Here is a 13,401-nt window from a genome sequence, read left to right as displayed (position 1 = left end):
CTTATAAAATGGGTCGGGAAGAACATCGTTGCAGTTAAAGTCTTTGTCCACGGTCCTAGAAGTGGAATTGCTGAACCAGCGGGTATGCATGGTGGTACATATGGCCAAGTTCTCCACAGAAAGAGGGTGCCATTTTACAACCTGCTGACAGGCCATAAGCAGCCCGTCTGTCCACAGCCTGCCAGCATTGGAAATGATCATTTTAAACAAATTGTCAGTTTAGCTGTGGCATATTTGTGGAGCATGTGATTGTGTGGTGGATCAGTGCATCTTCTCTAGAAGATATGCAGTAAAGCCAGCGCTTGCTGTCTACAGGGCAGGCATAGTCTGGGCCCTCCATGCCAGGCGCTGTGCTAGACCCTGAGTTGAAACAGTCAGCGCCATCCCTTTTCCTGTGAACTTAGTCAAATGGAGCTGCCAGACATTAACATTAATATCAGCAAAAAGTGCATTTAGTGCAAGGATGGAAAAATGACAAGAATTAGAAGAACGTAAAGTATCTCATTTAGGTTGGAATAATGGTGGTGAGTTCAGAGCAGTCTTTTCAGAGGAAGAGACATTTCGGCTGATACTAAAGATCAGCAAAGGGCAGGGACAGTGTATGCCCAGAGAGGGAGTGGCAGTTGCAAAGGCCCCAAGTTAAGAAAGTGCATGGGTTATTTGTTTATTTAATCTAAGGTTTGTGCTAATGAAGTATGAGTTTTACTCAGTGTCTGAGCTATTAGGAGCAGTATGGTCATAGCTGCAGTATCTGTAATAGAGAAAAACGGGGGCTAGCTTAAATGTCTGTTACTAGGAAAGTGGTTAAAAACTTGGCTACGTTTATCCCCTGAGTACCAGAGTGAGATATCTCATATAGGCAGGCATGAAAAGGGATGAAGATGCAGAGCTGTTACTGTGCATACAGTGTGATCCTGTTGGTGTTTCAGTGTGTATGTATTTTTGTTTCTTTCTTTCCTTTTTTTTTTTTTGGAGATAGGGTCTCACTCTGTTGCCCAGGCTGGAGTGCGGAGGCCCTCCATGCAGGCTCACTGCAGCCTTGACCTCCCTGGGCTTAGGTGATCCTCCCATCTCAGCCTCCTAAGTAGCTGGGACTATAGATTCATGCCACCACTCCCTGTTAATTTTTGTATTTTTTGTAGAGATGGGGTTTTGCCATGTTGCCCTGGCTGGTCTTAAACTCCTAGTCTTAAATGATCTGCCCAGCTTGGCCTCCCAGAATCCTGGGATTACAGGCATGAGCCACCGTAAACATCCTGAAGTTTTTAAAATACTTTTTTATACTTTTGTAAAAATGAATAAATGCAGCTCTTTCTGGTTTTGAGTCTTTATCTTCACTTGGGATAGGTGCATACTTAATTAGGAGTAAAGTTAAAATTAGAGACCCATTTGTTTATTTATTTATTTTCTTGAGATGGTGTCTCACTCTGTCACTCAGGCTGGAGTGTAGTGGTGTGATTTTGGCTCACTGCAACCTCCGCCTCCTGGACTCAAGCAGTCCTTCCACCTCAGCCTCCCAAGTAGCTAGGACCACAGGTGCATGCCACCACACCTAATTTTTGTATCTTTGGTAGAGACGAGGTTTCACCATGTTTCCCAGGCTGGTGTCGAACTCCTGAGCTCAAGTGACCACCACCTGCCTCGGCCTCCCAAAATGCTGGGATTACTGGCATGAGCCATAGCGCCTGGCCTGAAATTGGAGACTTTAACCCTTCTTGTTTCCTCAGTGTTCATTGGACCTAGTTTTCTTTTTCTTTTTTATTTTTTTCTAACAGAGACAGGTCTCACTATTGTTGCCCAGGCTGGAGTGCAGTGGCTGTACACAGACATGATCATAGTACCCTGTGGCCTTGAAGTCCTGGATTCAAGTGATCCTTTTGCCTCTTGATTATCTGGGACTGCAGGCATGCTTGTGCCTGGCTCAGGTTTTCTTTTCTTTTTTTTTTTTAAGACGGAGTCTCGCTCTGTTGCCAGGCTGCAGTGCAGTGGTGCGATCTCGGCTCACTGCAACCTCCGACTCCCTGATTCAAGCTATTCTCCTGCCATAGCCTCCCGAGTAGCTGGGATTACAGGCATGTGCCACCACACCCAGCTAATTTTGTATTTTTAGTAGAGACGGGGTTTCACCATGTTGGCCAGGATGGTCTCAATCTCCTGACCTTGTGATCCACCTGCCTCGGCCTCCCAAAGTGCTGGGATTACAGACGTGAGCCACCACGCTTGGTCTTTTTTTTTTTTTTTTTTTTTTTTTTTGAGACGGAGTCTCGCTTTGTTGCCCAGGCTGGAGTGCAGTGGTGTAATCTCGGCTCACTGCAACCTCCGCCTCCCAGCTTCAAGCAATTCTTCTGCCTCAGCCTCCCAAGTAGCTGGGACTACAGGTGCGTGCCACTACCGCCGGCTAATTTTTGTATTTTTAGTAGAGATGGGGTTTCACCATGTTGGCCAGGCTCATCTCGAACTCCTGACCTCGTGATCCACCCGCCTCAGCCTCCCAAAGTGCTGGGATTACAGGCGTGAGCCACCACGCCCAGCCAGGTTTTCATTTTTTAAGCTGCTTTTTCAAGCTCTTTAAGGAATGATATTGCATGAGTTGTATTCTTTTTTAGAGGTATTACAAAGAACTGAGAGAAAGTATACTTATATTTTAAAATAGTGCAAAACTCTTTCTGTCTTACAATTATCATAGGGGTCTTTTGGATCCTTTTGTAAGTCTTTACATGATGGGATCTTAGGGATCTTAATTTTCCTGTGTTTTGAACGTTTTGCTATTTGTTATTCCACATAATTATTTCAATACTATTCATCATCTACTCCCAAATATGCCAGATGAGATGAAAATCATAAGAAAATGGAAGAATGATAAAGCCTCTGGGGTGGATATACAATAGTGAAGTAATTGTCATGATGACACCTTCTTTTATTGTCCTATGGCCTTGCCTAGGCTATTGCATTGTCTTCCAAGAGGTTAAAAAAAGAAGACTAGAGACACCATCTTTTGAGTCTCCTTTTTGCTTTCATTGAACCCAGGTGAGAATCCAGAATTTTTCTATTTTTCATCTGTAATGTCAAGGAGAAGAGAATTGACAGAGGAAGACATTTCTGATGATTAACAAATCAGAAGATGAACACAAAAAGACAGATAGATGGCAGCACTCCAGACTGTAATGATGATGGTGAGATTGTCTAAGCAAAATCGCAGACTGTGAGTCTTCAGATGCTAGCATAGATGAATTTCCCCAAACTCAAGAATCAGCTAGTGATTATTTATCTGATGTATGGAAAGGAAATGTGGTATATTCTCATCTAGTCATTCAACAGAAAGGACTTCATCATGCAACATTTTTCGACAAGAACCTCTCCCATCCTGTTTGCATTTAAAAAAAAAAAAGTACGTGTGACAACATTCTTTTATCTTTTATGTTTGGCCGCCAACATTTATTTCTTACCACTTATTGTCAACAAAATAACTGGACAAATGCACAAGGAGGTGTGTGTCCAAAGGTGATTGGAAGAAAATAGATATAAAAATGACAAAAATAACTGGATTGATCCTTCTGTTGGTGTTTATAATCCAAAAATGAAAGCATTTTGCACTTAATGGAGCAAGGAAATGGCTGCTTTCTCTTCAACAGAATTATGAGTCTGTTTCAAAAGTAGTGTGTTTGACAGTGCCAGTACACGAAGAATCTGAAGTCCTGTTAAGTTAGAACCTGTTGGAGATGGACTTGGAATCTGACATCGCTACAGGTGGGCTGTGCCCCAGCTGCAGGTGCATCAGGTGATGAGCAGTTAGTTGCATATAGAGGACCTTGCTTTTTTTCAGGTATATATGCCTTCCAAATTAGAAACATTGGGATAAGAAGCTGGGTTTGCTGTGTTTAAGTTCTTATTAAAATGTCTAATAAAATGGCTTTTGTCATCCTTTTATTTGGTAAATTATTTGTAAAATGACTTTAGATATAGAAAAACAGAAGAGTCTGTTGGAGCCAGATAATAAATGGTGATGGCTAATTTTCCTAGCATACTGTGAGGGTTAAGTGTGGTTCAGAGCATTTCTTTCTTTTCTGTTGTTTTGTTTTGTTTTGAAATAGGGTCTTCCTCTGTCGCCCTAGCTGGAGTGCAGTGGCACGATTGTGGCTTACTACAGCCTTGACCTCTTGGCCTCAAGTGATCTTCCCATCTCAGTCTCCCTCGTAGCTGGGACTACAGGTGTATGCCACCACACCTGGCTAGTTTTTGTATTTTTTGTAGAGATGCGGGTTTTGCCATGTTGCCCAGGCTGGTTTTGAACTCCTGGGCTCAAGTGATCCGCCCACCGTGGCCTCTCAAAGTGCAGAGATTATAGGGATGAGCTATCACACCTGGCCTCTTTCTTAATGTTGCCTAGATTTTATTGCTGAACTATACACTATGGAATCAGTGTTAACAGTAATTCCTACATTGTGAAGATAAGACTAAGTGCCCACTAAACCTTCCTCATTTTACTGGGAATGGTTTTTGTAGATTAGTTTTGAACCATTTGCTGCCTCCCTACTTGGAACATTTTGTCAGTCTGGATAATAGGAAATTTTTAATGAGCCAGGCACGGTGGCTCACTCCTATAATTCCAGTACTTTGGGAGGCTGAGGTGGGAGGATCACTTGAGCCTAGGAGTTTGAGACCATCCTGGACAAGATGGAGAGACCTCATCTCTACCAAAAATATTTGAAAAAACGAAATGGTGGCATGTACCTGTAGTCTCAGCTAATGAGGAGGCTGAGGCAGGAGAATTGCTTGAGCCTGGGAGATCAAGGCCGCAGTGAGCTCTGATTATGCCATTGCACTGCAGCTGAGGGCACAGAGCTGAGGCCCTGTCTCAAAAGAAAAAAATTGTGTAAAAGAGCAAAATAATTTCATTTTCAAATATGTTTTTTTGCATTTTTATTTTACTGGCTGCTTTGTTCCTAATGATACTCCTCTGGAAGCAATGGCTTAGAGCAGTGAATCGCAACTCCAGTCACCTGGGGACTTATTTAAAAAATAAACAAATACTATAAATAAAACTGCTATCCAGGCCATGCCCTCAAAAATTTGAGTTCAGTTGTCTGGAGCGGGCTCCAGAATCTGAACTTGTGAAGCTCCCAAGTGATTGTAGTGCTGCTGTGGTTGAGAACCACTGGCTTAGGGTGTAGAACGGAGCAGTAGACCCATTGTTTTCTATCAGTCTTACGTGGAACCTTGATACATGTATATAAAATAGAAAAGGAGCATTTCGTTAGTATAAATTGTTATTTAAAAAAATTTTTTTTTGGCTGGGCACGGTGGCTCACGCCTGTAATTCCAGCACTTTGGGAGGCCGAGGTGGGTGGATCACCTGAGGTCAGGAGTTCGAGATCAGCCTGGCCAGCATGACGAAACCCCATCTCTACTAAAAATACAAAAAATTAGCCAGGCATGGTGGCTTGTGCCTGTAGTCCCAGCTCCTTGGGAGGCTGAGGCAGGAGAATCACTGGAACCCAGGAGGCGGAGGTTGCAGTGAGCCAAGATTGCACCACTGCACTCCAGTCTGGGCAACAGAGCGAGACTTCATCTCAAAAACAAAATAAAAAATAAATATTTGTTGTTGTTGTTGTTCTTGTTGAGATGAGGTCTTATTATGTTGCCCAGGCTGGTCTCAAACTCCAGGCCTCAAGTGACCCTCCCGCCTTGACCTCCCAAAGTGCTGGAATTACAGTTATTAGTATAAACTTATAAGTTTGGATTTATAATAATGGTAAAGGCAATTTCTGAGAATGAGGTATATGAGTTTTCAAAAACACCAAATTATATTCATTTAAAAACACGGCTGGGAAAGATACAGTCCCACTTTAGGATAGTGATTAACTGCCCTGGGAATGATAGTGAGATGGCCTTCATTGCCTCTTTTTTTGAGACAGAGTCTCACCCGGCTACTTTCTGTATTTTTAGTAGAGATGGGGTTTCGTCATGTTGGCCAGGCTGGTCTCGAACTCCTGACCTCAAGTGATCCGCCTGCCTTGGCCTTCCAGAGTGCTGGGATTACAGGCATGAGCCACCTCGCCTGGCCCGTTGCCTTGTGTTTTGAGATGGAGTCTTGCTCTGCCACCCAGGCTGGAGTGCAGTGGCACGATCATAGCTCACTGCAGCCTTAAACTCCTGGGCAATCAATCAAGTGATCTTTTTGCTTCAGCCACCCCAGTAGCTGGGACTATAGGCACACTCCACTGCACCTGGGTAATCTTAAAATTTTTTTGTAGAGATTAAGGTCTCACTTTGTTGCCTAGACTGATCTTGAACTCCTGACTTCAAACAAACCATCCATCTCAGCCTCCAGAAGTGTTGGGACTACAGGCGTGAGCCACCATGCGTGGCTCATTGTTTTTCTTAAAACAGAAAAAAACAGTCCGACGTCAGTAGTACTTAACTATTGACATTGGATAAATCCAGGAAATTGCCTGTTATGTTATTATCTGTACTTTTCTGTATGTTTGAAATAGGTTGTAAATAAAAATAAAAGTTAAACCTAATTGGGCTGATACAATGAACAAAACATTGAAAATTGGGGCATGTACGTGGCATTCAAAGTCTTACGACAGTCTGAGCACCTAGTTTATTTCCAAGTTGTGTTCTGGCTGCTCATAAAGAGCATTCTCATTGGCACAGTTCTTAGCATGTGGACCTTTTTTTTTTTTTTTTTAAACAGATCATCTATTAAAAAAAACTCTGGATGCTCTTCAGGGAAACAGCTGTCAAGCTTTATTCTGTTGTGCACAAAAATGAGTTAATCTGGGGTTAGCACAAGTTACTGTGTTGATGATTTCTGGTATCTTAATATTTGGTGTGAAACATTTTTGTTGCTGCTTTTTAAAAAATTCAGGCAAAATATACATCTAAAATTATTAAACATTTTTAAGTGCACCAGTGGCATTAAAATACATTCTTGGTTTTGCACAACTGTCACTACTAATTTTCAGAACCTTTCCATCATTCCAAATAGAAATTCTGGACTCATTGAAGAGTTACTCCCCACTCCCTTGCTCGTGGCCCTTGGTAACCTCTACTTTACTTTCTGTTTCTATGCATTTGCCTAGCCTAGGCACTTCATAAAAATGGATTTTTTTTTTAATGTGTGGCTTATGTTACTTACTGTAATGTTTTCAAGGTTCGTCTCTGTTATAGCATGTTTCAGAATTTCATTTCTTTTTTAAGGGTGAATGTTTTATGGTATGAATAGTAAATATTTGTTTTTCCAGTCATCTGTTGATGGACATTTGGGTTGTTTTTACCTTCTGGCTATTGTGAATGCTGCTGTGAACCCTGGTGTATAAAAATGTGTTCAAGTTGCTACTTTCAGGTCTTTTGGGTGTATATCTAGAAGTGGAATTCCTGGATCATATAATAATTATATGTTTAATTTTTTGAGGAACTACCAAGCTGTTTTCCATAGCAACTGTACCATTTTACATTTTCTATTAAATTAATTAACTTACTTTTTTTTTTTTTGAGACGGAGTCTCACTGGACTGGAATGCAGTGGCGTGATCTCGGCTCACTGCAACCTCCGCCTCCTGGGTTCAAGCGATTCTCCTGCCTCAGCCTCCCGAGTAGCTGGGACTACAGGTGCGCGTCACCACGCTCAGCTAATTTTTGTATTTTTAGTAGAGATGGTGTTTCACCATGTTGGCCAGGCTGGTCTCGAACTCCTGACCTCAGGTGATCCGCCTGCCTCGGCCTCCCAAAGTGCTGGGATTACAGGTGTGAGCCACCGCACGCACTGCCCATTTTCTATTTTATTTTTAATAAAATCCAAATCTGGTACAACCATTTTACATTTTCATAAGTGACTGGAAGCTTCTCATTTCTCCATATCCAAAAACTTGTTATTTCCATTTCTTTTGATAGCAGCCATCCTTATGGGTGTGAGTGGTATCTTACTGTGGATTTTTTTTTTTTTGAAACAGAGTTTCGCTCTTGTTGCCCAAGCTGGAGTGCAGTGGCATAATCTCAGCTCACTGCAATCTCTGCCTCCTGGGTTCAAGTGATTCTCCTGCCTCAGCCTCCCAAGTAGCTGGGATTACAGACGTCTGCTACCACACCCGGCTAGTTTTTTGTATTTTTAGTGGAGATGGTATTTCACCATGTTGGCCAGGCTGGTCTCGAACCTCTGACCTCAGGTGACCCACCTGCTTCGGCCTCCCAAAGTGCTGGGATTACGGGCATGAGCCACTGTGCCCAGCCGACTATTTGTATTTCTTTAGAGAAATGCCTGTGTAAGTGCTTTGCCCATTTTCTAATTGGGTTGTTTTATTGTTGAGTTGTAGTTCTTTATATATTCTGGATATTAATCCCTTATGAGATAAATGATTTGCAAATCCCATTCTGTGGGTTTTCTTCACTCTCTTGATAGTGTCCTTTGATGCATGAATGTTTTAAATTTTGATGAAGTCTAATATTAATGTTTCTTTTGTTGTCTGCGGTTTTCATGTCATATGTAAGAAATCACCAGATGGTGTCATAACACTTTTCCCCTATGTTTTCATCTAGGAACTTTACTGTTTTAGCTCTTATGTTTAAGTATTTGATCCATTTTGAGTTTTTAGTGGTGTGGGGTAAGGGTCCTGCCTTATTATTTTGCATGTGGATATCTAGTTTTCCTAGCACCATTTGTTGAACAAGCTTACAGTATTTTTTTTTTAAGTTTAATATCTATTTAACTATTAGATTGGTAATTACTTTTGCACCAACCTGTAAATTTCAAGCCAAACCTCTGTAGAACTCCAGCCTTTAAGGTACCTTGCTTGCAAATTGCCAGTTTTAAGGATTCACTCATAAAAAAGTAGACCCTTTTTCTGCTTAGGATTTAAACAAAAATACAAGTGTGGGCTGGGTATGGTGGCTCACACCTATAAATCCCAACACTTTGGGAGGTTGAGGTGGGAGGGTTGCTTGAGCCCAGTTCAAGACCAGCCTGGACAACATAGTGAGACCCCATCTCTACAAAACATTAAAAAAAATAGCTGGGAGTGGTGCCTATGCCAGTAGTCCCAGCTACTCAGGAGGGTGAGATGGGAATATTGCTTGAGGTCAGGAGTTTGAAGCTGCAGTGAGCTATGTTTGTACCACTGTCCTTCAGACTGGGCAACAGTGTGAGACACTGTCTCCAAAAAACAAAAAAAAGTATGTGTAGGTTAATAAACCACCACAAGTGCTATGAAAGTAGTTTTGACTCAGGTGAGATACACTGAAACCAGATTGGAAAGAAAAGATTATGGAAGGATAGAAGGAATTACAAAGAGCATCTGGAATAAATTTATTTGTCCAGGATTATACCCTTGGTTATATATATATTTTTTTAACCTAGAGTTTGTTTTATTTTAATTATAGCTTTTTTTGGTGGGTGTGACACGGTCTCACACTGTCACTGAGGCTAGAATGCAGTGGCGTGATCATAGCCACCTCAGCCTCAACACCCTAGGCTCAGGTGATCCTCTCCCCTCAGCCTCCCAAGTAGCTGGGACCACAGATGTGCGACACCGCACCTGCTAATATTTGTATTTTTTTTATAAAGATGGGGTTTTGCCATGTTGCCCACGCTGGTCTCAAACTGGGCATAAGCAATCCACCCACCTTGTCCTTAAAAAGTTTTGGGATCACAGGCGCTAGCCACCATGCCCAGCCAATTACAGCTTTTAATATTCAGTGGCCAGACACGGTGGCTCATGTCTGTAATCCCAGCACTTCAGGAGGCCAAGGTGGGCGGATCACCTGAAGTCAGGAGTTCGAGAATAGCCTGGCCAAGATGGTGAAACCCCATCTGTGCTAAAGATACAAAAAAAAAAAAAAAAAAATTAGCCGGGTGTGGTGGTGGGTGCCTGTAATCCCACCTACTTGGGAGGCTGAGGCAGGAGAATCGCTTGAACCCAGGAGGCAGACGTTGCAGTGATCCAAGGTCATGCCATTGGACTCCAGCCTGGGCGACACGAGCAAAACTCCATCTCAAAAAAAAAAAAGTTGAGTGTAGGTGGAATATACCTGATAAACATAAGGAAATGCACAACAGATAAAATCTTGGATAGTCCTATACCTTGCCTATTTAGCAGTTTCAGCCATGGGTTCCTTTTCAGATAGTTCTAATCTCAGAAGCAGGACTTTATAAATTCTTTGACAAAATAAGCAATAATGTGAAGAAAAACAGCTCTTTTTGTTTTGGGGGACTTTGCTAGATAAGCTTTGAGCTTATCTAGTTCCTCTTATTATCACTACAGCACAGTATAAAATCCATGTTATCAGCACGCAGAAGTAAGATCCTTGCTCCTCTTTAATCTCATCCCTGATTGGACGACTCTTAAGTGAACCTTGTTCCAAAGATGGAATCTCTGCCTTTGTTGAGGAGACTTTATTAGTTTGCGCCTTGTATTTTTTTGCCAACAGCCGTTGAGTATGAGATACATGGCAGTTTTGTAATGTGTTTCATCGCATCCTTATTTATTTCTTTATTTTTAATTATAGAGATAGAGAGTCTTTGTTGCCCATGCTGGAGTTCAGTGGCTGTTTACAGGCATGATCACAGCTCACTGTAGCCTTGAACTATTGGGCTCAACTGATCCTCAACTGTCACCTTGCTGAGTACTGGGGCAATAGTCGTGTACTGCCATGCGCATGGCTGCATTCTCTTAAAGTGGTTTCCCGCCGGGCGTGGTGGCTCACGCCTTAATCCCAGCACTTTGGGAGCCGAGGTGGGTGGATCATGAGGTCAGGAGTTCGAGACCAGCCTGACCAACATGGTGAAACCCCGTATCTACTAAAAATACAAAAATTAGCTGGGTGTGGTGGCGCATGCCTGCAATCCCAGCTACTCAGGAGGCTGAGGCAGGAGAATCGCTTGAACCTGGGAGGTGGAGGTAGCAGTGAGCCAAAATCGCGCCACTGCACTCCATCCTGGGCAACAGAGCGAGACTCCATCTCAAAAAAAAAAAGTGGTTTCCAGGGAATTTATGTTCAAATAAGCCTGCATACTCATGTGGACAGACTTAATCTGAATTTGCCACGTCCCACATATATCTGTCTGTATTTTGACTTTTCCAAAATGTGGCTTCCCACTACTTGAGAAGGACTTTTGGAAGTCACTGTTCCGAGCAGCAGTGACATCTTGCTGAACCACAGTCAGGCTGACACATATCCAAAGGTCTATTATGTGCGGATTGTTTTTGGTGAACTTATGAGGTACAATTTGACTCAAACTTGACAGGACATGTATCTTTTTAACCTCTTAAATTCAGTGACACTTGGTATGTGTGTGGTTAAATTCATAAAGCCAAAGCTCAGTGCTTTTAAGGTTTACCATTGCAGCTAGGATGTTGATGGGTGTTTTTTTGTGGGGGACAGCGTCTCGCTGTGTCACCCAGGCTGGAGTGCAGTGGCGCATGATCATGGCTTACTGCAGCCTCGATCTCCTGGGCTCAAGCAATGCTCCTGCCTCAGCCCTCCAAGTAGTTGGAACTACAGGCATGTACCACCACCACATCCACCTAAGTTTTGTTTTTTTGTTTTTGTTTTTGTTTTTGTTTTAGAGACAAGGTTGCTCAGGCTGGTCTCAAACTGCCATGTTGCTCAGGCTGGTCTCAGACTCCTGGGCTCAAGCTATCCTCCTGCCTTAGCCTTCAAAGTGCTGGGATTACAAGCATGAACCAACTCACCTGGCCATTGACTATTTTAATAAGAGCTAACTACTAAACAATTATTCTTACAGGTGAATGGAAGAGAATCCGAAGAAGAAAATCTCAATAAATCTGAAATAAGTCAAGTGTTTGAGATTGCACTTAAACGGAACTTGCCTGTGAATTTCGAGGTAAGCTAATTTTACATGTAGGACTTTGTATTCTAAAATCCTGTTAGCATTCATCATAAGAGTTATTTTTTCCCCTAAATATCATTGGAATAATCTTCACATAATGTGAACCTCCAAATTTAAGATTCATACTTTATATTTAGTGAAGCAGTGTTTATTCTCTTCTTCTGGGAGTCCGTAACTAAGGGGCATTCATGGATGTGTAGAGAGTTCATGATGGCTTCAGTTGGTGTGTGGACCTCCTGAAGCAGTCTGAAGATGGTTGTGTTAGTGTTCATATGTGTATTCTTCTGGATAGGGAAGGGTGGAGGGGCTAGTTCATCACTTAGATCAGTCTCAAAAGCATTTGTGGTCCCTAAAGGTCTCTTCAGAGTAATTTTGAAAAGGACTCAGTTTTTGTCATTGTCTAGCGTCTGCCCTCAATTCCTGTTTAATAACTTCATTTGTTGTTGAGACCTTGTGTTCTAAAAACAATAATCAATGAATTGTCTGATCAAAGTGGGAAATAAGGTACATTTTAATATATGTTGCCTTAAAAGACATATAGTTCATCCAAATGGACGAGGGAGGTAAGGGAGAATTTTTTTTGTTACTTATTTTTATTAAGCGCCAGCTTAATGCTGCAGAAAATTTCACATCACCCTTGATAACCCACTTTCTTTTCTCCCACCCAAATTCTTGATCAAGAGTTTTTCAAGTAAAGACATGCTCTTCTCTCTTCTATATAAAACGTTACGAATAAAGGCAAAAGATTGTGTACATCTTGCTGGAAAATGCTGCCCAGGGCTCTGGAGATGGCGGCTGCCCGGGCTCCCTTCGCTGTCCAGGTCCTGAAAGACTCTTGTTCATGAACTGTCTCTTCACAAAGCAAGTCCACCACGTGCTGGGTTTATCATTCTTAGGGTCGAAAACTTCCTCACAAAGTCTCAGTCCAGTCTCTTGCCTTAGCTGTTGTAAATAGGCTCTCATCACTTCATCTTCCTGTTTGTTTGCAGGTTTGGTATAAATTGCGTGAAGTGGAAAACCAGGCTCTCCAGGAATGGGAAAACTAATGATTCCCAGTGTATACATTTCTTTCTCACCTTGACTTTTGGAATTGCACTTTTGGAGTTTTTTCAGACATTCAGAAATGTAGAGAGTTAAATATATCAAGGTCCTATCAGCTTCATTCTTAATTTCATAGTTTTTGAAGAAGACATTGGCCTTGAAGTAATAGTTGGCTTCATCCACAATATCTGTATCTTTTGTCTCTCTGGGGGCAGGTCCTTTGAATTGACTTCTGATAGGTAACAGTGCTATGTTTCCGATGAGTTTGGTGTCAGGATCCATGAGAGAAGAGTAATGAGCCGGCATCTTGGCGGCGCCCGGGTTTCAACCCAGAGCTTTTTTTTTTTTTTTCCCTGAGATGAGTTTCACTCTTGTCGCCCAGGCTGTAGTGCAATGGTGTGTTCTCGGCTCACTGCAACCTCCACCTCCCAGATTCAAGCGATTCTCCTGCCTCAGCCTCCTGAGTAGCTGGGATTACAGGCATACGCCACCATGCCGAGCTAATTTTGT

At 42.3% G+C, this 13,401-nt stretch overlaps 1 protein-coding gene and 1 pseudogene across 28 annotated transcripts in view; one reads left to right on the top strand and one right to left on the bottom strand.

Annotated features, from left to right (window-relative positions):
* The window catches only part of STAU1 (staufen double-stranded RNA binding protein 1), a 105,957-nt gene that overhangs the window by 71,619 nt on the left and 20,937 nt on the right, over positions 1 to 13,401 (top strand). For all 28 annotated transcript variants that reach the window (NM_001319135.2, NM_017454.4, NM_001322927.2 and 25 more), the window contains one exon: positions 11,746 to 11,844. In NM_001319135.2, the coding sequence (NP_001306064.1) occupies positions 11,746 to 11,844 (99 nt within the window). The remainder of the gene's footprint in view (positions 1 to 11,745; positions 11,845 to 13,401) is intronic.
* On the bottom strand, positions 12,380 to 13,226 carry ARPC3P1 (actin related protein 2/3 complex subunit 3 pseudogene 1; annotated as a pseudogene).

Source organism: Homo sapiens, chromosome 20 (genome assembly GCF_000001405.40).
Source record: "Homo sapiens chromosome 20, GRCh38.p14 Primary Assembly".
Taxonomy (NCBI): Eukaryota; Metazoa; Chordata; class Mammalia; order Primates; family Hominidae; genus Homo; species Homo sapiens.
This window is presented reverse-complemented; position numbering and strand designations above follow the sequence as displayed.